Source organism: Homo sapiens, chromosome 10, assembly GCF_000001405.40.
Source record: "Homo sapiens chromosome 10, GRCh38.p14 Primary Assembly".
NCBI lineage: Eukaryota > Metazoa > Chordata > Mammalia > Primates > Hominidae > Homo > Homo sapiens.
This window is the reverse complement of record NC_000010.11, coordinates 73,435,825-73,460,752: the sequence shown is the minus strand read 5'-3', so window position 1 is coordinate 73,460,752 and position 24,928 is coordinate 73,435,825. Positions and strand designations below refer to the sequence as shown.

At 37.5% G+C, this 24,928-nt stretch overlaps 1 protein-coding gene across 15 annotated transcripts in view; it reads left to right on the top strand.

The window, feature by feature from the left end:
- Positions 1 to 24,320, top strand: part of PPP3CB (protein phosphatase 3 catalytic subunit beta) — a 59,592-nt gene extending 35,272 nt beyond the window's left edge. For 4 of the 15 annotated variants that reach the window (XM_047425426.1, XM_047425430.1, XM_047425428.1 and 1 more), the window contains 6 exons: positions 6,264 to 6,341; positions 12,063 to 12,089; positions 14,177 to 14,261; positions 15,931 to 16,028; positions 20,852 to 20,881; positions 22,333 to 24,320. In XM_047425426.1, coding sequence (XP_047281382.1) covers positions 6,264 to 6,341; positions 12,063 to 12,089; positions 14,177 to 14,261; positions 15,931 to 16,028; positions 20,852 to 20,881; positions 22,333 to 22,511 — 497 coding nt within the window. In that variant the 3' untranslated portion in view covers positions 22,512 to 24,320. Of the gene's footprint in view, positions 1 to 6,263; positions 6,342 to 12,062; positions 12,090 to 14,176; positions 14,262 to 15,930; positions 16,965 to 20,851; positions 20,882 to 22,332 lie in introns of those variants that run through there. The other 11 variants (NM_021132.4, XM_047425432.1, NM_001142353.3 and 8 more) reach the window with 6 other exon arrangements.
- The last annotated feature ends 608 nt before the right edge of the window (positions 24,321 to 24,928 follow it).

Genomic DNA, 24,928 nt, shown 5'->3' with positions numbered 1-24,928 from the left:
TCTGGTCAATGGGCTCCTCCCTGACCCCCAAAACTATTCTTTCCTCCTAGGCCTCTAGGCCTATGATGGGATGGGCTGCTTCCTTTTTTCCATTGTCTTGGCTATTAGCACTTGGTTCCTTTCATATTTTTTTCTTAAACATTTTCTTCTATCCATTTCCCTCACTAGTGAAAACACATTAGTAGTTGGAGTGTTCTCTACTTACTGTTTTCTTCCTTTATACAGTACCCTTATCTTGAATTCTTCCCTTGTTGAAGAGGTGACCCTTCCATTCAAGCCAGTCTAACTTGTCTCTAGATTCTATTACCTTTCTGCTTTTTCAGGAAACTTGCTTTATCGTTTATGTCCTCTATATCTTCACATTCTCAGTACTAGTTCTTTTATAAATTATTCAAATCTATCTGATCTTTAAATAAATAACATTTCTCTCATCTGATGTCATTTTCTAACTACTGTGCTGTGACTTTTTTTTTTTTTTTTTTTTTTTGCTATTACTTTCTTGCCTTTCTTTCAGAAGCCAAGTTTCTGGATGAAAATGTATACTTTAAAGCTACGATTTAATATCCGTTAAATGGCTCCATGTAGCTTTCGAGATAAACCTTAACCTGTCAACACAAAGTCCTTGGACCTTCCCTACTTTCTCTTCAGCCTCATTTCCTGCCTTTCTCTTTCACGTTATCTTCGTTCTAGCCATAACACAGCAAAGCCAGTTTTCTGAACGTGTTATGCTCTTTAAGTTTTATACCCTCATACTTTTCTTTATTTTTTATAACTGCTTTATTGACATGTAATTCACATACCATAAAGTTGACCTATTTAAATTGTACAATTCCATGTTTTTTATATACTACAGAGTTGTGCAATCATTACCACAGTTTTGGAACATTTTCATCATCCCCTCCAAAGAAACCCTGTGCCCATTAGCAGTCACTCTTCATTTTCCCCTAACCCCCCTTGCTAACCCTAGGTAACCACCAATCTGCTGTCCCCATAGATTCACCTATTCTGGACAGTTCATATAAATGGAATCACACAGTGTGTGCTCTTTTGTGACTGGATTCTTTCCATGGTCTCAAGGTTTATCTGTGGTGTAGCATGAAGCAGTACAACATTCCTTTTTATGATGGAATAGTAGTCTATTGTATGGATATAGCACATTTTGTTTGTTTTATTCATCAGCTGATAGACATTTATTTCTACTCTTGGACTTACTAATAATGCTGCGAAGAATATGCATGTGCAAGTTTTATGTTTTCATTTTCTTTTTGAGACAGAATCTTGCTCTGTCGCCCAGGCTGGAGCGCAGTGGCGCGATCTTGGCTCACTGCAAGCTCCGTCTCCTGGGTTCACGCCATTCTCCTGCCTCAGCCTCCTGAGTAGCTGGGACTACAGGTGCCCGCCACCATGCCCAGCTAATTTTTATATTTTTAGTAGAGACAGGGTTTCACTGTGTAGCCAGGATGATCTCAATCTCCTGACCTCCTGATCCACCCGCCTCGGCCTCCCAAAGTGCTGGGATTACAGGCGTGAGCCACCATGCCCGGCCTATGTTTTCATTTTCTTGAGTATAGACCTGGGAGTGAAATTGCTGGGTCATATTGTAACTCTATGATTAACCTTTTAAGGATCTGCCAAACTGTTTTCCAAAACAGCTGTACCATTTTATTGTTGTTGTTGTTTTTGAGACAGAGTTTTGCTCTTGTTGCCCATGCTAGGGTGCAATGGTGCGATCTCGGCTCACCGCAACCTCTGCCTCCTGGGTTCAAGTGATTCTCCTGCCTCAGCCTCCTGAGTAGCTGGGATTACAGGCACGCACCACCACGCCCGGCTAATTTTGTATTTTTTAGTAGTGACGGGGTTTCTCCATGTTGGTCAGGCTGGTCTCAAACTCTTGACCTCAGGTGATTGTCCCACTTCATCCTCCCAAAGTGCTGGGATTACAGGCATGAGCCACTGCGCCCGGCCTTAGCTGTACCATTTTACAGTTTCATCAGCAGTGTATATATTCTTTGGATGAAAAAATATATATATTTTAATAAATATACATTTTAATATATAAACATATACTTTACATATGTAAAATATATTTTAATATAGAAAATACATGTATATTTTAATATAGAGACAGGGTTTCGCCATGTTGCCCAGGCTGGTAACTCCTGAGCTCAAGCAGTCTACCCGCTTTGGCCTCCCAGGGTGCTAGGGTGACAGGCATGAGCTACCACACCCAGCCGAGGATGAATATATTTTCAAATCCTTTGCTTATTTTATAATTGGGTTATTTGTCTTAAAATTTTCTTTATTAAAAAATTTTTTTGCCAGGTGCGGTGGCTCACACCTGTAATCCCAGCATTTTGGGAGGCCGGGGCGGGTGGATTACCTGAGGTCAGGAATTCAAGACCAGCCTGGCCAACATGGTGAAACCCTGTCTCTACTAAAAATACAAAAATTAGCTGAGTGTGGTGGTGCGTGCCTGTAATCCCAGCTACTCAGGAGGCTGAAGCAGGAGAATTGCTTGAACCTGGGAGACAGAGGTTGCAATGAGCCAAGATCACACCACTGCACTCCAGCCTGGACAACAGAGTGAGACTCCGTCTCTAAAAAATAAAACAAAACATTTTTTTGTTGTCTATATAAATTTATGAAGTATAAGTGTAATTTTGTTACATAGATATATTGCATAGTGGTGAAGTCAAGGCTTTTAGTGTATCTATCACCAGACTAGCATACATTGTACTTATTAAGTAATTTCATCTTCCACACCTCTCCCACCTCTCTACCCTTCCAAGTCTCCTTTGTCTATCATTCCACACTCTACCTCCATGTACATATATTATTTAGCTTCCACTTATGAGAACATGCAGTATTTTTCTGTCTCAGTTGTTTCATGGGAGATAATTATTGAGTTGTGTTTTTTAGATATTCTATATGCAAGTCCCTTACGTATATGATTTACAAATAATTTTCTCCCATTCCACTTTCACTTTCTTTCTTTCTTTCTTTTTTTTTTTTTTTGAGACAGGGTCTTGCTGTGTCACCCAGACTGGAGTGCAGTGGTACCATCTTGGCTCACTGCAACCTCCACCTCCCAGATTCAAGCGATTCTCCTGCTTCACCCTCCCAAGTAGCTGGGATTACAGGCATGTGCCACCATGCCCGGCTAATTTTTGTATTTTTAGTAGAGACAGGGTTTCACCATGTTGGTAAGGCTGATCTCAAACTTCTGGTCTCAAGTGATCCACCTGCTCAGCCTCCTGAAATGCTGGGATTACAGGCATGACCCCCGGCCTAGCTGACTTTCACTTTCTTGATAATGTCCTTTAGGCTTTCACTCCATCATCTAGGCTAGAATGTTGGAGTGCAATCGTAACTCACTGCAATCTCAAACTCCTGGACTCAGGCAGTCTTACCGCATGGCCTTCCAAGTAGGTAGGACTACAGGCATGTCCTACCATGACTAGCTTTTTTTTTTTTTTTTTTTTTTTTTTTTTTCTTTTTTAGAGATGGGATCTTTGTGTTGCCTAGGCTGGTCTCACACAAATTACTAGGCTCAAGTGATCCTCCTTCTTCATTCTCCCAGGTAGCTGGGATTACAGGCACATGCTTCCATGCCTGATTTTTTTTGTCCTTTGAAGCACAAAAGTTTTCTAATTTTTTAAAAAAATACATTTTATTGTGTATATTTAAGGTATACATCGTAACAGCTTTATTGAAATATATATACTATGCAATTCATCTATTTAAAGCATACAATTCAGTTGGTTTTAGTATATTTCTAGAGTTGTGTAACCATCAGAAAGACTAATCTTTCTGTCTCTATAGATTTGCCTTTGCTAGACATTTTATATAAATAAGGTCATATGGTATATGGTATTTTGTGACTGGCTTCTTTCAAAAAGTTTTTTAATTTTGGTGAAGTCATATTTATCTGTTTTTTCCTTTGTTGCTTGTGTTTTTGTTGTTATACCTAAGAAATCATTGCCTAATCCAAGCTCATAAAGATTTGCCCGTTTTTTTCTGAGAGTTTTAGTTCTTACATTAGGTGTTTGATCCATTTTGAATTAATTTTTGCATGTGATGTGCAGTAGGGGGAGTGCAGTTTATTCTTTCGCATGTGACCATTTGCAGCTTTATTCTTTTGTAGTTGACCATTGTTGAAATGACTGTTCTTTAGCCACTGAATTGTTTTGGCACCCTTGTCAAAAATCAATTGACCTTAAATATCAGGTTTTCTTTCTGGACTCTCTGTTCTGTTGTGATAAATGACTACTACATCACTTTTTTAACTTCTGTTTAGAATGCCTTATCTGCCCTCTCCACTTGGCAAACTCCTAGTTCATGATTCCTCTCAAATGTTATCTAGCAAAAGCCTTGCCTTCCCCAGCAGGTCTTCCCCAGCAGGTCTTTTGCATATCTTTGAACACTTACAGCATGTTTTCCATCAACCTTTTGCAGTTGATATTTAATGTCTCCTTCAGTAGTTAGTAAGCTTGTTGAAGGTAGAGACTGTGCCTTTCATATCTGAATCCTAGAGCTTTAATGTAGTACTTGACATGTGGGGTGCTTTTAGTATATTTATTAGCAGGAAAAAGTGGTTTGTAGAAGTATTGAATTTTGTTTTGGATATGTTCATTTCTAGGTGCCTTCAGGACATCTAGGTGCTAATATTCAATAGACATTTTTATTTATTAATTGAAATTTGCTTTTATCTTTCTTATTTTGTGTACTTATTTGTTAGATATTTATTGAGTACCTGTCATGTGCCAGGGCACAGTGCCAGGCTCTGAAGTTATAATAGTGAATTAAACAACATCCTACACTCATGAAGTTTTCATTCTAGTAGGGGAAACATACAGTATACAAATGGTTTAAGACAGTTGACAGGCTGGGCGCGGTGGCTCACGCCTGTAATCCCAGCACTTTGGGAGGCCAAGGTGGGCGGATCACGAGGTCAGGAGATCGAGACCATCCTGGCTAACACGGTGAAACCCCATCTCTACTAAAAAAATACAAAAAATTAGCCGGGCGAGGTGGCGGGCACCTGTAGTCCCAGCTACTCAAAAGGCTGAGGCAGGAGAATGGCGTGAACCCGGGAGGCGGAGCCTGCAGTGAGCCGAGATCGCGCCACTGCACTCCAACCTGGGCGACAGCGAGACTCCATCTCAAAAAAAAAGACAGTTGACAATAAAACTAGCCAAGGACATCTAGAGCCTGAAGGAGAGGTCAACACTGGAGATACAGACTTTGGAGTCATCTTCAACGAGGTGATAATTGAAACTGTAAATATGATAATAGACAGAAATTCCAAGTGATTGAACATATAGGAGGAATAATAATGCAGAGAGAATCTTGAGGATATCCAAAGTTTTGGGGAAAAATGATCCAAATGTGGGAAAACCAGAAGAGCAGAATCTTGGGAACCAAGGGAAAAGAGAAGGAAAAAAATATACAGAATAGTCAAAGAGGATTAAGCCTATGAAAGAGCCAAGGGTTCAGATTGTTAGATAGTCATTAGTAATCTTTAGAAGTAAATTTCAAGAGAGTTGCTGAGCCAGTTTTTAAAAGATTAAGGCCAGGCGCAGTGGCCTACGCCTGTAATCCCAGCACTTTGGGAGGCCAAGGCGGGTGGATCATGAGGTTAGGAGTTCGAGACCAGCCTGACCAACATGGTGAAACCCCATCTCTACTAAAAGAAAAAAAAAAAATACAAAAATTAGCTGGGCATGACGATGGGTGTCTGTAATCCCAGCTCCTTGGGAGGCTGAGGCAGGAGAATCTCTTGAACCTGGGAGGCAGAGGTTGCAGTGAGCCGAGATCACGCCACTGCACTGCAGCCTGGGCAACAGAGCAAGACTCCATCTCCAAAAAAAAAAAAAGATTAAATCCTGAGACTTTTTGGAACCACTAAAACTCTGCCATGATTTTTTTTCTTATTATGCTATATCCATGAATGAAGATTTGAAATGTATACATTCAGTTGTTATTCATCTCTGTTCTTATCTCTATGGGGCTTCATTTTTTTTTTTTTTTGAGAGGCCTGAAAATTTGTTCCATAAAGAATCTCTTTCTCTCAGAGTTGTTATCCACTGAATTTCTTTCATTTTGAAAGCCTTTGCATTTTTAAATTCCATCGATCTTGGTATAAGAATGTGTTTGCTTTCTTGGGCTAAACATTATTTGACCATTTGTAAAAATAGTTGCTATGTGTATGTATAGACAGTTATATATGGTCAGCTAACATGTAACTTTTTTTTCCCAAATAGTGACAGAAATGTTGGTAAATGTTCTGAGTATTTGCTCTGATGATGAACTAATGACTGAAGGTGAAGACCAGTTTGATGGTATGATTATTCATCTTACTATTTTTTTTTTTACTGTGAAATGGTATTTCTTTACTGCCTAGCCTCAGTACACACTATTTTGCAAAAAATAGTCATTGCTTTCAGAGACTATGCTATTTGATAAGTAACAAGTTACTTTTTTTGGATATTAAGATTTGAAAATAATTTCAGTGATTTCATTTTTTTATTGTAATATGGGGAAGAAGATGAACTTTGGGAAAGGAGAAATTTGGAAGAAAGAAGATAAGGAAAGGAAAATTGAAGTGTTAAAAGGATGTAGTTCTTGGCAAATATGGACACTGGTTAGAGAAAAGAGGATAAAAATACTATTTGTTTTATTAGAACAATATTCTTAGTGCATCAGAAGCATACCTGAACTCCCAATTTTGCTTTTCCTGCCTTTTAGACACTAAAATAGACTGCTTCTAAATTAGTGTGATTGTGTTCTAAAAGACCACTTGCTAATTTAGTTTCAGATTCTGAAAGCATTTTTTTCCACAGAAACAAAGTTATACATGGTTGTTGTTACGTAAGCCAACAAGCCTATGTACCTAATGCATGTTTATAGTAAAAAGTAATACTATAGAAACAATTCATTTTATTTTGTTTTGAAATTTTTATTTAAAACTTTATTATTTAAATGTTTAATTAAAACCTGAGTACATAAAAAGGTAAACAATATATAAACTGAAAACGATTCCCTTCCATATTCCCCTCATATCTTTGTTGTAGTATACTTTTTATAGTTGTAATCAATATTTCAATGTTTCCGTGTATTAAACATGGTCTGTATATTGGTAAGATTTAATAGCTACGTATTTCTAAGTCCATTGATAAACTATAATGTTTGGCTAGATGTGGTGGCTCACGCCTGTAATCCCACCACTTTGGGAGGCCAAGGCAGGAGGATCCCTTGAGCCCAGGAGTTGGAGACCAGCCTGGGCAATATGGAAAGATTTCCTTGTCTGTATTAAAAAAATATATATATACACACACACACACACGAAAATTTAATTTTCATAATCTCATTGTTTGGCAACTGGGTTCTAAATTATCCTTATGAATAGCAGTAAAATAAACATATTTGTATAATAGCTTTTATTTTCCTCCTTGGAATAAATTTATTGGAGAGAATTATAGAGTTACAGAATTAACTCTGTAATTCTTTTAGCTTCATCGTTTTAGCTGTGAACTACCAGATTGCTTTGCAGAAGGATTGGACCACTATGAAGTGCCTCCAGCAAGGAATCCATAAACATATTTCTCCACAGGACTACCTCATTGGATTTTGGTCATTTTTACTTATTTTCTTCATGGCTATATAGTAGTAAATTATAGTTGCTTAAGTTTACATTTCTTTGATTTCTAATGATGCTAAGAAGAAAATTACTGTTTTTCCAACTGTGTAAACTATCCATTTCATTTGATCACTTTTCGAGTAAAATCTGAATGAAGCCTATTTAGAAATTTCTTTACTTACAAACAGGTTTGATTCTTAAACATTTGAAAGCCCATTTGTTGAAAGTACAAGGTAACTGTACAAGCGCTACCATTGCCATCTGTTAGTGGTAGGCAGAGATGTGCTTTTATTCTTACACATTTGTTAATAACTGACATAGTATATTTATTATCAGTTATTTTTTAGTTTGGATAGTAAACTTTAGTGAATAATAATTACTCTTCCTTATTTTAATTCTCTTTCCTTTTTTTTTTTTTGAGACAGAGTCTTGCTCTGTCACCCAGGCTAGAGTGCAGTGGCGTGATCTCAGCTCACTGCAAGCTCCACCTCCCTGGTTCAAGCAATTCTCCTGCCTCAGCCTCCCAAGTAGCTGGGATTACAGGTGCCCACCATCACGCCCAGCTAATTTTTGTATTTTTAGTAGAGATGGGGTTTCACCATCTTGGCCAAACTTGTCTCGAACTCCTGACCTCAGATGATCGGCCCGCCTCTGCCTCCCAAAGTGTTAGGATTACAGGCGTGAGCCACCATGCCCAGCCATTGAATAGTTTCAAATAGATATTTTGTTTCCCTGTTCTGCTGTCACTGTTTTAAGAATAGACCTGGGCTCAGATTCTAGTTCCTTCTAATGGCTCTGTGGCATCAGACGACTTACTTAACCTTTCTGAGTCTCAGTTTCTCTCATGTTCAAAGAAGTGACAGTAATACCTACTTCATAATGTTGTAGGTATTGAGATAATGAATAATTGAAGTAATTATTGCCACATAGCCTACTTTTTTTTAGAAAGTTTTCTATTTTTCAAAATCTGTGAAATATTTAGTGAGAGTTTTAATTGATATTATGTTAATTCTATATCTGAATCTAGGGAGGTTTTTTAAATTTTTTTTTTTAAGAGATGAGGCTTCCAGCCGGGTGTGGTGGCTCACGCCTGTAATCCCAGCACTTTGGGAGGCTGAGGCGGGTGGATCATGAGGTCAGGAGATCAAGACCATCCTGGCTTAACATGGTGAAACCCTGTCTCTACCAAAAATACAAAAAATTAGCCGGTCGTTGTGGTGGGTGCTTGTAGTCCTAGCTACTTGGGAGGCTGGGGCAGGAGAATACAGTGAACCCAGGAGGCGGAGGTTACAGTGAGTCGAGATCGCACCACTGCACTCCAGCCTGGGCGACAGATGGAGACTCCGTCTCAAAAAAAAAAAAAAAAAAAAAGAGATGAGTGAGGTTTCCCTATGTTACCAAGGCTGGTCTTGAACTCCTGGCCTCAAGCAGTCCTCCCACCTCAGCCTCTCAAAAAGCGCTGGGATTACAGGCATGAGCTACCAGGCCTGGCCAAGTCTTTTGTTTTTCCTTCCTTCCTTCCTTCTTCCTTTCTCTTTCTTTCTTTTTTAAAAAATAGTATTTAGTTTTCCAAACTAAGACCAAGAACTCTTGCTCTATATAATTATTTACTATTTCCTCCATTTAAGGTTATATAGTTTTTCTTTGAAAAAATTTTGTCATTATCAAGTTAAATTAATACATCTGTATTTTATGTTCTTATTACTATTACAACTGGTGTCTCTTATTTTCTATCTGTGTAAAAGAATATACTATATATTTGTGGGTTTATCTTATATCTAACAAACTTGAATCAGCAGAATTATTTTCTATGATAATTTTAAGTTTGTTTTCTATTACTTTTAAAAATATGTCATTTATAGGGGATTGATATTGTTATTTATTTTCTGTATTTTTACCTTTCTTTTATTCTTTAAAAGTTATTATGAGTATTGCAATAGTATGTTAAATAGGCATGATGGTAGATAATGCTTTAGTCCTCTTCTTATAATAATAAGAAAAAAAGGTTCCTTGTTAAGTCTAATTATAGTACTTGGTTTTAGGTACCTATGATTTATATGAATAAAGATACTGAGTCATATTTTGAGATGGAACCAGAAATAAATATAAAATTTTATTATATTCTAATGAGAAGATTTTATATATCATCAGTATTTTTCCTATTAGTATGATAATTTATCCACTTGTTATTATCATTCTTGCATTCCAGGGATGAATTGAATTTGATCATTAAAGAGGCAGTGTAGTTTAATGAAAAGGATCAGTGGTTTAGGTGTCTTGTCACTACCGTTCACTAGCTGTGTAATCTTAGAAAAGGCACCTAATTTCTCAGGTTTTCTTATTCAGAAACTGAGGGAATAGAGAGGATGAAAATTCTTTCCCACTCTTAAATAATTTTAAAAATTGTTAAGCACCATTTATGACAATGTTTCTATGGGAAAATACACTGAGTTCCAGCTTTGAATATTAGAAATAGATCTCCCTTTACTGCTAACAGGGCAGGTACAATTACTCTTCATTGTTTTCACTCTTCCAGTACCACGTATTAGGAGTAGGGACTCTAAGAAAGTTTTAGGAATATGAGTCTGGGAGTTTGCATGGAGAAATGGGAATGGTTTGAAAGAGAAAAGAATGTTGAGGAAATGGAGGACAGAGGAGGAGATTCGGATAGATACTAAGGTTTAAAGTGGGGTAGGGAAAGAGCTACTGGAAATAGGTTTATTTCCCTTCCTTATTTGTACTCCCTGATTTCTTCCCTCTAACTCCCTCCATCTTTTCTCCTTTCCTTTCACTGTAATGGCGTGCCTTCTGTTCTCTCCTTCCTCTTTTCCTACACAACGGTGAACCATTCTATGGAACTGGTCTGGGGAGATATCTGACTTTAGAAAGAAAACTTGATGGGATGGCTGTGGAATCAGAGTAAGGGTTTAGTTTTTCTTTGGGGAAAGAGAGCGGGATTGGAGATTTCTGAGTGTCAGGAAGGAAGAAGTAATTTTTGTATATTTAAAGCTAAGATGGCCGGGCGCGGTGGCTCAGGCCTGTAATCCCAGCACTTTGGGAGGCTAAGGCGGGTGGATCACCTGAGGTCAGGAGTTCGAGACCAACCTGGCCAACATGGCAAAACCCCCTCTTTACTTAAAAAACACAAAAATTAGCCAGGCATGGTGGTGCGCACCTGTAGTCCCAGCTATTTTGAAGGCAGAGGCAGGAGAATTGCTTCAACTCGGGAGGCAGAGGTTGCAGTGAGCCGAGATCACCCCATTGCACTCCAGCCTGGTTGACAGAGCGAGACTCGGTCTCAAAAAAAAAAAAGCTAAGATTAGGTAAAGGCATAAGACTGTTGTTAAGTGGTAAATCTTTGGTGCTCTGTATTGTTTAATGTATGTGTGGGGTCATTTTTAAGACAAAAATTTGCATTAACACTAATGTATAAACCCACATAGCATCCGTTTTAGAAGTGTTAATCATAAAAGAGAATTTTTGAAAACTGATTTCTGTGATATTTAGGTTGCATGCAGTTTTTTCCAGGTGTTTATCTTTTGTCTTCAGTTTGGTAAAGGGAAGTACATAATCCATATGTGTTGCAGTTTCACTAAAATAAATACATTTCCTATAAAGGAATAATATATCTCAGCATTAGAATGGAAGATATGGAAAGCTCAAATGAAACCACCCCAGCTGCCTACTCTTAGAACTGTTACTTGATTTGAAACAATCTGTTGCTATTTTTGCAAAAAGATGTCCCCCAAATTTCCCAGATTGGACTGGGGACAGAAAGCACATACTGTTGCTCCTGAGTATATGCAAAAGTTCTGCAATTCAGATTTAGGAAATCATGTGCTCTTGTTAGGGAATATGGGAGGTTTAGCTTTTCCTTCGTTGGGAGGGGGTGAGGTTTTCTACTGAGGCAGTTTATAAAGTTACCTACATTTCTCTGAATGTACTACAGATTTTGCAGATGTTGGTGTCCTTGAAGAACCACACAAGTTTGTATTTCATTTGTGTCATTACCTTTTACTTAACATACTTCCACAGGTGACACATTTCCTTAGGGGTATGACTATAAATGTGCAATATTTGTTAGCAGTCTTTTTTCAGTCTTATGTGTTTTCACATGTTTTTTTCTGTCCCTAATTATGTCTGCTTCCATCAGATATGATAGTTATTCTGTCCATAATTTCTTCCATGCACATGTCTTTTAAGAAATCTTTACTTTAGAGTTCTACCTAGTTGCATCCCTCTTTATTCACCAGATTCTACAGTACTACATTTTTCAAATTTCCAAATATGAGGGCCTTCATTTTTCTCTCTTTCTACATTCATTCTTCAGTACCACTGCCAAGTTAAATCTCTATCTTTTTATTTGTCCCAACCACCTTTTCTCCATCATTCACTTCCTTTTTTCTGGACTCTCCATCTGAAGAACGGCTCATATATGGCAATAAAAAAGGTACAGACCAGACAGAGTAACATTGTTTTGAAATATGACTTCATAAGTTATCTTCATGTCCATGTAAGTTAGCACATTCATTGAGTAATGTCTATGCAGAGTCCTCTTGGGCCTTGTGCAAATTTAGCTTAAGTTTTATCTGTGTTAGTGTTTGGTATTTTTAGAAGTCATATTCCAAGATATCTGTCTTTCTGTGCATGGAAATATTTTCCCTCCTTTTCATTCCTGTTTTAAAATTTCATTCTTTTGCTTATTTGTAATGTTTTGTACTTTTCCCTGCATGATTAGGGTTGTTTGATTGTCTATTATTTCCCAAAGAAATGTTACTGTGACCATTTACTTTAATATGATGCATGATGTGTTTGTAGACTGATTTAAAATCCTGATTTGTACAGTGTTTTTATATTCCTGTGAATTTTTCATTTGATATCAGTATAGTTTACATGTCATTTGGTTTTATAGATATAGAAATTAAATCTGAAAATATGAATGTACTTATTACAGCCATCCTCCCCAACACCCTACTGCTTATCCCCAGTCTAGCTACTTTAAAATTCTGTCAATTTTAAAACAAAATGTTTATAATCATTTATTAGAAGAGAATCAGACTTACCTTCTATCCTTGAACAAGTCACTTAATAACCTCAGTTTCTTTGTCTATAAAATGAGGAGATTGCACTTTATAGTATCTCCATTGTCTCTTCAAATTCTAATATTCTATGATTCTTATATTTTTAGTTTTTGGGGGTTTTTTTGTGGTTTTTTTTTTTGGTATTTTAAAAATACCTGTTTAGAGTGCTGTGGTACCCAGGTACCCACACAGTTTTGGACTTGTAAAAGCTGTAGCTTCAGTGCTCATAATATTTACCCTTTAGAAGATCATAAACATGTCATGGAGCCTATTTTTTTCCCCTAAAATATGTCTTTTGTTTCTGTCTTTCAAGTTGGATTTCTTTTTCTCTTTTCTTGCAGTCAGATCCAGTCATTATCTTAGTTTTTAATTATATGTAATTGTGGACTGCTTGAATTTTAAATGAGATGTTCTCTCCCAGAAGACTTACAGTTGTTCAGACCTCTGTATACCTAAGGCCCCTTTTGAATTAGTGTCTTTAGCCTTTCCTTAACCTTCTCCTCAACCATGGTGCTTCCATGTGTGTTTTCATTGTGTTGAAGCACGGCTCTAAGGAACCACACTTTTGGGTCCAGAGTGATTCTAGTTGCTATATATGAAATAACAGGACTGAGATTGATGTTGTTCTTTCTGGAGGCCAAGGGAAGGAAGATAAAACCTTTGAGTCATTCTTCAGCCAAGGATTTAGTTATTTTGGTTTATTCTCTTCTACATCAGTTGTAGACAGCACAGCTAACCCTTTAGAGATGAAGCAGTAGTGATCCTTTAGCCATGTTTTTCTTGTTGCTTATGTCATACTCACCTAGAGATGTAAAAGATTGTATATATTTGCATGACCTTAGGAGCACCTGGTACATTAGGCACCTGGTGCATTGTTGAAATGCTGGTATGGCCCTTAGTTCAGGATTACCTGCACAGTAGCTCCTTCATGCCATTCATTTTAGACCAACTCAAAGCAAAGAAGCTTATTCTGTCATAGTCTGATGGGATATTGTCAGCCTGCATGTCAAATACTTTGTGATAGTTAAATAAGACTACAGGACTGTTAGAAATTCTTGTCTGTTAGTCTGCATGCCATAGGCTGTCATGAAAATTAAACAGAGACTATAGGATTATTATCAGTTTTTGCCCTCTGGTTTGTAATGCAAGTTGGGCTCAAGTTTGTTTGTTTTTTTTTCCCCATTGCTGTTTTACTGATTAGCCAGTAGAGTGAAATATTAAAGTTTGTGGATTACTTTTTATTTCTATATTTATCAGACCCCAGTATTAGACCAATGCTGAGCTAAACATTGAGAGAGCAAGACATTTTTTAGCATGAGTTCATCTAGTCCCCTCCATGTAAGCTGGTGGCAGGGGTCTTGGTACTGGTTTAGATGAGTGTGGAACAGGCTAATAGAATATTGTAAGCATGCATGCCCTAAACTTGAGCCTTTCTCTCTATTTATTCCATTGAAAGTAGGTTCAGCTGCAGCCCGGAAAGAAATCATAAGAAACAAAATTCGAGCAATTGGCAAGATGGCAAGAGTCTTCTCTGTTCTCAGGTAATGATATATTTTCTTGATTATTTGTTTTGCAGAAATTACGTTTATTGTACCTTGTTACAAGCATTGTCCCGCATCTAAAAGCAAAATGGGGCCGGGTATGGTGGCACACTCCTGTAATCTCAGCATTTTGGGATGCCAAGGCGGGCGGATCACCTGAGGTCAGGAGTTTGAAACCAGCCTGGCCAACATAGTGAATCCCCATCTCTACTAAATATACAAAAATTAGCCGGGCGTGGTGGCATGCACCTGTAATCCCAGCTACTCGGGAAGCTGAGGCACAAGAATTGCTTGAACCCAGGAGGCAGAAGTTGCGGTGAGCCGAGACTGCGCCACTCCAGACTGGGCGACTGAGCAAGGCTCTGTCTAAAAAAAAAAAAAAAGAAAGAAAAAAAGCAACAAGCAACAGGGTATCATTCTTCCTATAAAGAAGTTACTTAGGCCTGGCCAGGCGTGGTGGCTCACGCCTGTAATCCCAGCACTTTGGGAGGCCAAGGCAGGTGGATCACGAGGTCAAGAGATTGAGACCATCCTGGCCAACATGGTGAAACCCTGTCTCTACTAAAAATAGAAAAATTAACTGGATGTGGTGGTGCATGCCTGTAGTCCCAGCTACTCGGGAGGCTGAGGCAGGAGAATCACTTGAACTCGGGAGGTGGAGGTTGCAGTGATCTGAGATGACGCCACTGCACTCCAGCCTGGGTGACAGAGTGAGACTCTGTCTCAGAAAAAAAAAAAAAAAGGGTACTTAGGCCCTTAGGCTGGGTGCAGTGGCTCACGCCTGTAATCCCAACACTTTGGGAGGCCAAAGCGGGCGGAGTTCAAGACCAGGCTAGGAAACATGGCGAAACCCCATCTCCACAAAAAAGAATACAAAAATTAGCCGGGCCTGGTGGCATGCACCTGTGGTCCCAGCTACTCGGGAGGCTGAGATGGGAGGATCACCTGAGCCCCAGGAAGTTGTGAGTAGTGAGCCGTGATTGTGCCGCTGCACTCCAGCCTGGGTGACGGAGTGAGACCTTGTCTCAAAAAGAAAAAGAAGTTTATATATTTGTATACTGAAGATGGGAACACAAGTCCCTTTGAAGCTAAGATTTTTGACTCTGGTGATTGTTATTGCTCATCTTTGGTATCTCTTTTCCGTTTGTGATAACACTAAATTCACACCTTGAAAATTAGAGCAGGATAAGAAGGAGGGGATACTTTTTAGAGTATTCTTGATGAACTTGTTCATCCATATAGGAAGTCCCTTGTGCTGGAGCCATAAATTGCCTTCCCTGGGGTTAATTCAGGAAGACCAGGTTAAAGGGTACAAATGAATAGGTCAGTCTTTAAAAATTTGTTTGCACAACTGACTACATCAGACATTTGAACTTCAGAGCATATGAAATACCATATTTTCTCAATAGTATGATGCCCCTTGATGAATCTTACCACATATTTAATAAAGCTTTTCAGGAAAAACAATATATGCCTCAATGGTAAGGCACACCCTCATACCTGAAACACTTAAAATATAGAAAAATTAATGTCTTGAAATTGAGGAAAATATGGTAATAGCAATGAATGTCATGAATTTTATATATGGCCTATATCTAGACCCTATGTCTTCTTTTAAATTAAGTACTTGTTGGAAGTATCTGATATTTGTTATATCTCTCTGCTATAGGGAGGAGAGTGAAAGTGTGCTGACACTCAAGGGCCTGACTCCCACAGGGATGTTGCCTAGTGGAGTGTTAGCTGGAGGACGGCAGACCCTGCAAAGTGGTAATGATGTTATGCAACTTGCTGTGCCTCAGATGGACTGGGGCACACCTCACTCTTTTGCTAACAATTCACATAATGCATGCAGGGAATTCCTTCTGTTTTTTAGTTCCTGTCTCAGCAGCTGACCTAGACAGGGTACTGTATTAGCTAGTGTCTCATTAATACCTGATCAGGGCAGAAAACTGATAGAATGGGTATTCCTTTCAATTGAAAATAATGGTCAGTTCCTCAGCTTTTCATGAAATGATATGGGAGCAGCTCATATCATAATGTCTGAAATATTTATTTATTCATCTGTCTAATTCACCCTTTTCTTTTAAAAGCCCCAGTTTCAGAATGTGAATCAGGGATATTCCTGTTACTAAAATGGAAATGTAATTCCAAGTTTCTTTTTTAATTTTTTAAATTTATGTCATTGTATTGGACTATGCTTATATTTAAAACTACTTAATTTAGAGTTAACTACCTGCTTAGGCCCCAGAACATTACTTATGCCCTTCAGTTACCAAAAGATTTGTGCAAGGTTTTGTACCCTGGTAAATGATGCCAAAGTTTGTTTTCTGTGGTGTTTGTCAAATGTTCTATGTATAATTAACTGTCTGTAACATGCTGTTTCCTTCCTCTGCAGATGTAGCTGCTTTCCTAAATCTGTCTGTCTTTCTTTAGGTTAGCTGTATGTCTGTAAAAGTATGTTCAATTAAATTACTCCATCAGACACTTGTCTGTCTTGCAATGTAGAAGCAGCTTTGTAGCACCTTGTTTTGAGGTTTGCTGCATTTGTTGCTGCACTTTGTGCATTCTGAACATGAATGTAACATTAGATATTAAGTCATTGTTATAAGGGGTTGAATTTAAATCCTGTAAGTCAAAATTGAAAGGGTGTTATTAAGTGTGCCTTTATTTTGCATGAAAATAAAAAGAATTATACGTAAAGCATTCCTGTAATCTGGCTCATTGAATATTTTATACTTAAAAAACTTTTTTTGGCGTAAATATTTGTGTAAATACTGGGTTAACTTTTTAAAAGCCCATTACAGATTAAATAGAAGAGAGTGATGTGAGTATTAGTGACCATACACAGTAATTCAGTCTAGATTTCTTTTCCTGTGGTTGGAAAGCAAAAATACATGATGTGGAAAAGCCTGAATTTCTTGTAGTCACTTTTGACAGCCCTCTAAGGGTCATTGTCTATTAAAATAGCAACAGATCTGATGTTTTCCTTAGTCATAATTAGGTTTCTTTTTGGTGTTGTAATTAGTGACTTTTTTAGAGGGAAAAAAATAGGCAATTTTAACGTTTTGAATGAATTTACATTTGACTTCACAATTTCATTTCACTTGGTTCCATAATAAGTGCTCTTTTTTTTTCTTTTCTCTCTTCTCTTCTCTTTCTTTTTCTTTCTTTCTTTCTTTCTTTCTTTCTTTCTTTCTTTCTTTCTGTCTTTCTTTCTTTCTTTCTCTCTCTCTCTCTCTCTTTCTCTCTCTCTCTCTGTCTTTCTTTTTTTGTGTGCATGTGTACATGTGTGTGTGTGAGAGAGACAGACAGGGTCTGGTTTCTTGCTGTGTCACCCAGGCTGGAGTGCAGTGCAGCCTCAACCTCCTGGGCTCAAGCAGTCCTCCATTTCAGCCACCCAAGTAGCTAAGACCATAGGCACATGCCACCACAGCCAGCTAATTTTTTTTATTTTTTTTATTTTTTATTTTTTTATATTTTTGTATTGCCCAGGCTGGTCTCAAACTCCTGGGCTCAAGCAATCTTCTGACCTCAGCCTCCCAAAGTGCTGGGATTATAGGCATGAGCCACTATGCCTGGCCAATGATTGCTTTTCAATAAAAAAAATTTTTTTCCTGTAAACAATTTTTACTTGTAGCCTATACATGTTCTATTTTAAATGTCATTGTATTGTTCACTACCACCACTGGTATATCTGAAAAGTACACTGTGTTTTGAAATTATAAATTTTCATTCTGAATGAGGTTTCTTTTTTTGATTTTCTTTAAAAAAAAAAAACAACCTGCTTTGATTTGCTTTACATTCCTTGCCCTCCATTTTTCTTATTATATTGTAAACATTAGAAAAATGAACTAAAAAGAATTTCATGAATGTACATTAAAACAAGATCTTAAACATTTGATAAAACTAGTAAAAATGTTAATAGAAAAGGATGAACTTTAATAGCTTCAAAAATATTATACTCTTCTTTGTTCAGAAAAGAAAAATAAAACCAAAAGGGTATCATACTTAAATAAATCTACAGTATAGTCATCTCTCAGTTATCCTTGGATATAACATTACTTTTATATTGTATCCGCAGCAAACCTTGCTTTCAGATTTCACGATTAGCCCCTGCTAATTACATGCTTTGTTGACTTCTGTTTATTCTTAATTTGTACACGGCTTGAAGCTCATTCCTTCAACTTTGAAACCACCCTCAACTGCAGGGGAGGTTTGAAAGACAGCAGCTTTGCTGGAGGGACTCTCTATTCTCAGCATGGACTAAGTTACTGGAAGGAATTGAGTTTAAGGGGTCTAATTTGGGACCCCTTAAACTAGATAGCTTCTAGTTTTGCTAGCTCTTGATAGTGTGGTTTGGGCATTTGGTCAAAATTATTTTCCTAGCATAAGATAAATCCACTTTGAAACAAATAACAAAGGTCATACAAAAGCTGCATGTTTGTGATTATTTTTTAAAAAGTTATCCTACATTTTAAATTTTAGTAGATAATGTTCCCTGATGTTAGTGTGTATAACTGAGAGTTAGGTATTGCAAAAGGAAAAAATTTTAATTCTAAGACCTCGTGCCTATTTGTCAGAAAATAAAAATTGTCGTTTCAAGAACTTTAAAAGTTAATTTACATGATGTTTCTTGAGTGTTTTTACAAACTGCACAACTCTATTGGAGGTGGATTTTCTGTTCATCTTTATTTTATGTATGTTTTCTTTCTGGGAAATTTGATTGGGAGCTAGCACTGTAATGCTACCCTCACCAGGATCTATATGGGAAATATATGTGGCCAATTCTATGTTAGTAATACCAAATTCCTCTTGGTCATTTATCTTGCATAGTACTGAGGAACACAGTTTGAGATAGCACTATGCTCAAACTTATTAAGGCCATGACAAGATGCCCTATATAACTGAAAACAAATAGAGGAGAAATAGTGCCTTTCAGATAGAGTGTTGCAATTAGCAATCTGGGCTCAAGTGATCTTCCTGCTTCAGCTTCCCGAGTAGCTGGGATTACATATGCACACCACCATGCCCGGCTAATTTTTTAAACTTTTTTTGGGGGGAGATGAGGTCTCTCTATGTGTTGCCCAGGCTGGGCTCAAACGCTCAAGGGATCCTTCCACCTCAGCCATCCGAGAGTGCTGGGGTTATAGGCATGATCTTCCATGTCCTGCCCGATTTGTAATGTAGTTTAACAGTTAAGGAAAATTAACTCTTCCTTTATTCAGTGTTCGTCCTAATTCTTTTGGGTCCCCAATTCACTTTACTGTCTGGTTAAGATCAACATTTTCTAACTTAGTTCACTTTAATACCTTAGATTCATCAGTTTCTTTTACATTAATAATTGCTTTGGATAAAATTATTTCTAAATCATGTTAATTGCTAAAAGATCACTTCAGGAATAATTATTCTAATTGGCCTTATTGCAGAAGAAGCAAAATAGGAGAGACCAGGGCATTACTTTTACAAATATTCTGAGTAATAAGGGGAATGGACAATATTGTAAACCAGTATTGTTGTGTGCTATCTTGAGTCCTGGTCCTCAGTGTGAGCTCTTTATACAGTTCAAACCCAGAAATGAGCGAAAAAAAGAATCTTTGACTATAAAATGTTTGACTAATTATGGTGAAATTCTCTAAATGGACCAGTGACACACTATACCAATAATGTATTTCTTATTTATAATATGACCTATGTGTCTATATCATGAAATAATTAGAATTTATGCCTGTAAGACCTCACTTCTCTTCCTTAATGTCTCTTTAATTGGTAGATGAGTTTGAAAAGATGCTCAGTAGTCTTTTTCTGAGGCAAATTTGAGTTCATGATAAACTCTGTCAGTATAAATGGAATTTTTTAAGGCTATAGATGTTAGTATCTGTAGGTATTTGGAACATCAGTACTAGAATAGAAAGGAAGTTACTGGTAGACAGGAGAAGTCCTTTCAGGTCCCCCACAAAGAACAGAGCCACAGAACTGTTCTACTTATAGTAATTCATCAAGTTTACTGCCCTTAAATTTCACTGTAGTCATATCAGCTCTTGCAGCTTATGTTTTGCCTTATAAATTACAAGTAACAGGTAAAGCATTGCTGACCCCTTCTAGTTTATGTCTTAGGGAACCAACTGGTAATGAGTATTGTTCTCACTGACATGAAAGAAAAGACTTTTCTGTTTGCTTTTCTGCTACAATTCTATTATAATTTTACCCTAGAGCATTTTCCTGTGATTGTGATGGATGTGATATAATAAACATAATGGAAAATTCTAAGGCCATCAAATTACTGATTCAAGATGGGTAATTAATACTGGAGTGCATTTGCATGGGTGCTGAGGTGTCTGTGTTTACAGTAGGTTTATGTGTTCTGTGCTCTGAGTGATGTTGTCATAGTGCTGTGTGTAAACTGTGCTGTGTCAGGAATTGGGGGTTTGGATGGGGCTCTCTAATTTGGGTACTATTTATGTTAAATTTTAAATGATGATGTAGTATGGGATACTGTGATATTTTAAGTGATCATTGCCTTTTCTGCTGTACAATATGACCCTTCTCATCTCTCTCATTCATTTTGCATGCCTCTGCTCACTTCTGTACAGCCACAGTTGAGGCTATTGAGGCTGAAAAAGGTATGATCAGAGTCCTTGTGCTGGGCAGAGATCTGTGGTGTGTGGGTGGGCATCAGAGAATGTCCTGTGGGTGTGTTTTACTCCTAGCTTTTACAGCCCAAGATGAATCAGACTCACTGATTCATCAAGTTTAGAAGCCTTGCAGCCCTCTTTTTTTAATTTTTCATTTTTAAATCAGAAGGGCTGATGTCTATGGTGACAGTCTTTTTCTTCTTTCCGGTGTAATATGCAATCAGAAAGTAATGTTTCTGATTTCTTTAGAGTATAGCATGTTATGCTATACAGTATAGCTTTATAAAGTTGCCTGTTTTAATGGAAATTGCCAAACTGACCTGCAAATAGAGATCTGTTCCATATTTTGCATGATTCTATGCTACTCAGATTTTTTTTCCCTAAGTGAATCCTCCTCTAGGTATAGGTGTGAGTTTGTTTTTACAAACTAGTGTGCCTGACTGAGAATACAGGAACTGTCACTATAATGATTTTCTTTTTTCTTTTTTGGCCGCAGTTTGGGCTATAGTTTATGGATAAGATTATGTTCATATATATATGTGTTGGCTTGGTATTTCACATTCCTCAGTGTTTGTAGCCCCAGCCATTTGTTTGGTTCATGTGCCAGACTAAGACCTAAGGATTGCAGATATTAAGCAACCAGATTATAACCAGTGGTTTGAAAATATTTCCTATGAACACTTTAATAATGGAGGATGCATCATTCTAGATGAAGTGAATGAGAAACCATACAATTGGTGGAGAATTGCCATTTATTTTGATTTGAGTTTCCAAAGACTGTGCAGTATGGCCAATGAATTAAGGAGAACATCTTCTAAATTACGAGATTATAAATACTTTTTTGCTATCAGCCATACACAGATCTAACTCTTGGAGGCACTTCCACCTTTTTAATGTTATATTGGTGGCGATGGGCTGACCTTGACCTCCAAGATAGTTCTGATCTACTGTATTTTAACCTTTCTTTAACTCTTTCTCCTCCCAAGCTCTTGGTACAGATTTGTATATTGAGGATTAACCTTGTTTAGCCTCCTCACTTGCCCCTACTCTCATTGCTGCCTTACTGTGATAGTCACTGGTGATCTTAGGGACTGATGTAGGAGATAATTGGTATAGTAGAAGTCAGACTGAGACCCTGAGACCATTGCCTGGAGGTTGATTTTGGGGGCAGGAGAGGGTTAACATTTTTTTTGTATTTTTATTTTTTGGAAGGCTTTGCTAACACTTGTCACCTATAAAGCTATGATGTTTATATTTAGGTTTAAACATTTCACATTTTAAGGAAAGACTGAAATGAGGATAGGATTCAGTTAAAGTAAGATTTATGTGTTGCTACTTACAGCTACTAATTTCTTTCTTCTTAAAAATCATTAATTATGTTTTTGAAATCTCAGAAATGTTTTTCAATTACTGACTTATCAAATTTGCATTTTATTAAGCAATACGAGGATTCTCTCCACCACATAGAATCTGCAGTTTTGAAGAGGCAAAGGGTTTGGATAGGATCAATGAGAGAATGCCACCTCGGAAAGATGCTGTACAGCAAGATGGTTTCAATTCTCTGAACACCGCACATGCCACTGAGAACCACGGGACGGGCAACCATACTGCCCAGTGACCCACTACTTCCCAGGGACTCTCACATCTCGGGCCCCAAATGGACAGATCACCCGAGGAGCTGGAGGGGTCGGCCAAGCTGACTGTAAATTTCACAGTCTCTCTGAAGAAACCATTGTGCTTCTGAGACCCTAGCCCCCTTCCTGGATGGAGGCTTGAGGGCCCTGGGACATGTGCTATCTGATAAGATTGGGTCATCGCTGCCAAGGTGGAGAGCAGTGAGCAAGGGGCTTGGGGCAATTTCCAGTGGAGGGCATCCACACCTCCATTTTATGCTTGTGGTTCACACATTTAAGTTTACAAATCAGATTTCTTTTCCCCTTCAGTAGAATTAGATTTTGTTTTTCAATCATGATTTCAAATGCAATCCTAAGAGCTAATGTGGACTTTTCTTTTTCCATGAAATGTCTTTAAAGGATGAATTAGCATGGTCTTAAAATACATTTCTGAGGTTACTAGCTGTATTTTGAATTGTGAGCAAAATGCCGAGAAACCCAGTTGGCATTTATACAAAATGTTGACCTCAGGTCTATAGTTCTTAAATGTGGCTAATTCTGTAACATAGTCTTGGTATTTTTTAATTATGAATGCATATCCTATTTCCAGGCAGGCTCTCTTACTTGAACACAAATCCAAAAACTAATTTAGAGTCTTTTTTGCCCAGATCTTTTAAGACTTACACCCCAGAGATTTAAGAAGAAAACCTCTAAATTTCAAAATTATGAAGAATTACAGAATTACTCATTTAAGGTACTTTAAAAGAAGTTTGTACATTGTCAAAGTAAATTTTAATTCAAATCATGTCTGTAAAACTTGACGTATTTTGTGTATGCATGTTTTCATTTTGCAAATATTTAATATATAGACCTATGATGTACAGGTACGACATGTATAGGTTACCTAGATGTTATGAGAAATTTTAGTTTATTGTGAGTACTCAAGTTGCTTAGAGAGCCACCAGGGTGATTTGCTGCTGGCTTTCTATCATTTTTATGTTTTAATGCAAAGGAAATTTTAAAATGTTCTGGAAGTGTTTTTGATTAAGCAATGCAGCCTAGAAGCAATGGTTCTGTTCAATCATTCAGATGTTAGTGGAAGCATAAAAGTCAAGACTGCATGTTGAAACCTTTCTTTTGATAGTTACTGAACTGCTTGGTTAAACTAAATGGAACCATGTGCTAATTTTTCACAATTATTGACCTGTATTGATTGCCACTGTAGTTTGGTATTTCCCTTTACTTTGGTGGCCTGCTTCCCTCATGCCCTGGAATACAACTCAGAGCTCCAGGCAGCGGAACCATCTATTGTTTTGTTTGCCAGAAAGTGCACCCTGTATGGTCTCCTGTCTAAGTTGGAAATATTATGCATGTGCAGGACTATTCGAGTATTTTATAAACAGTAGCACACAATAAATTCCATGCATGGGCCGCTGCTCCTATCTCTGTGTTGGGTTTTATTTGGAAGATGCAATCTGATTTGTCCTTTTGATGCAAATCAGAAAATCCTGTTACTAGAGCTGGGATGTCCTCCGGAGATTATCTCGTGGATAGTTCATGGTAATTTGATTAATTAAATTCTTTATAAATTTTGCCTTAAAAAAAACTTTTGTTATATACTTGTTTTACATGAGCATTAGTAACTGAGCACTAGAGGACTTTGAATGCCTACTGTAGGCCTCCTAAGTCTAATATTTAAGATCACTGTTTATTGTCTTTTAATTGAAAGAAAATATGTTATTGTCTAGAATTTTGTTATAGTGGTATTGGGAATTTACTGGGTGTTCTAACAATAAGAAAAATATTAGTGATAATTGCATTTTCCTATCATTCCTTTCTTCTTTGTCATAATCACAATAAGTATAGGATTTTGCACATTGAGGGATATTAGGATATTGCTCAAAATTATATAATCATACAATAACTTGAATTATAGTTCTCAACAATAATTACAATGAGATATATTATAAAACACTAAGTCAAAATATAGGCAGGGCACAGTGGCTCATGCCTGTAATCCAAACACTTTGGGAGGCTGAGACAGAGGATTGCTTGAGCCTAGGAGCTCATGGTTGCAGGCTGTGTTGAGCTATGATTGTACCACTGTACTCCAGCCTGGGTGACAGAGTGAGACCCCATCCCTTAAAAACAAACAAAATATATGTAAATATATTAGGCAAGCGCACACACACACACACACACACACACACACACACACACACACACACATGCTTGCCTAATTCCAGGTAACAAACAGAACTTCTCAAATTGTTTCTTTTTTCTTTTTCTTTTGCTTTTTTTTTTTTTTTTTTGAGACGGAATCTCTGTCTGTCACCCAGGCTGGAATGCAGTGGCATGCTCTTGGCTCACTGCAACCTCCGCCTCCTGGGTTCAAGCAATTCTCCTGCCTCGGCCTCCCAAG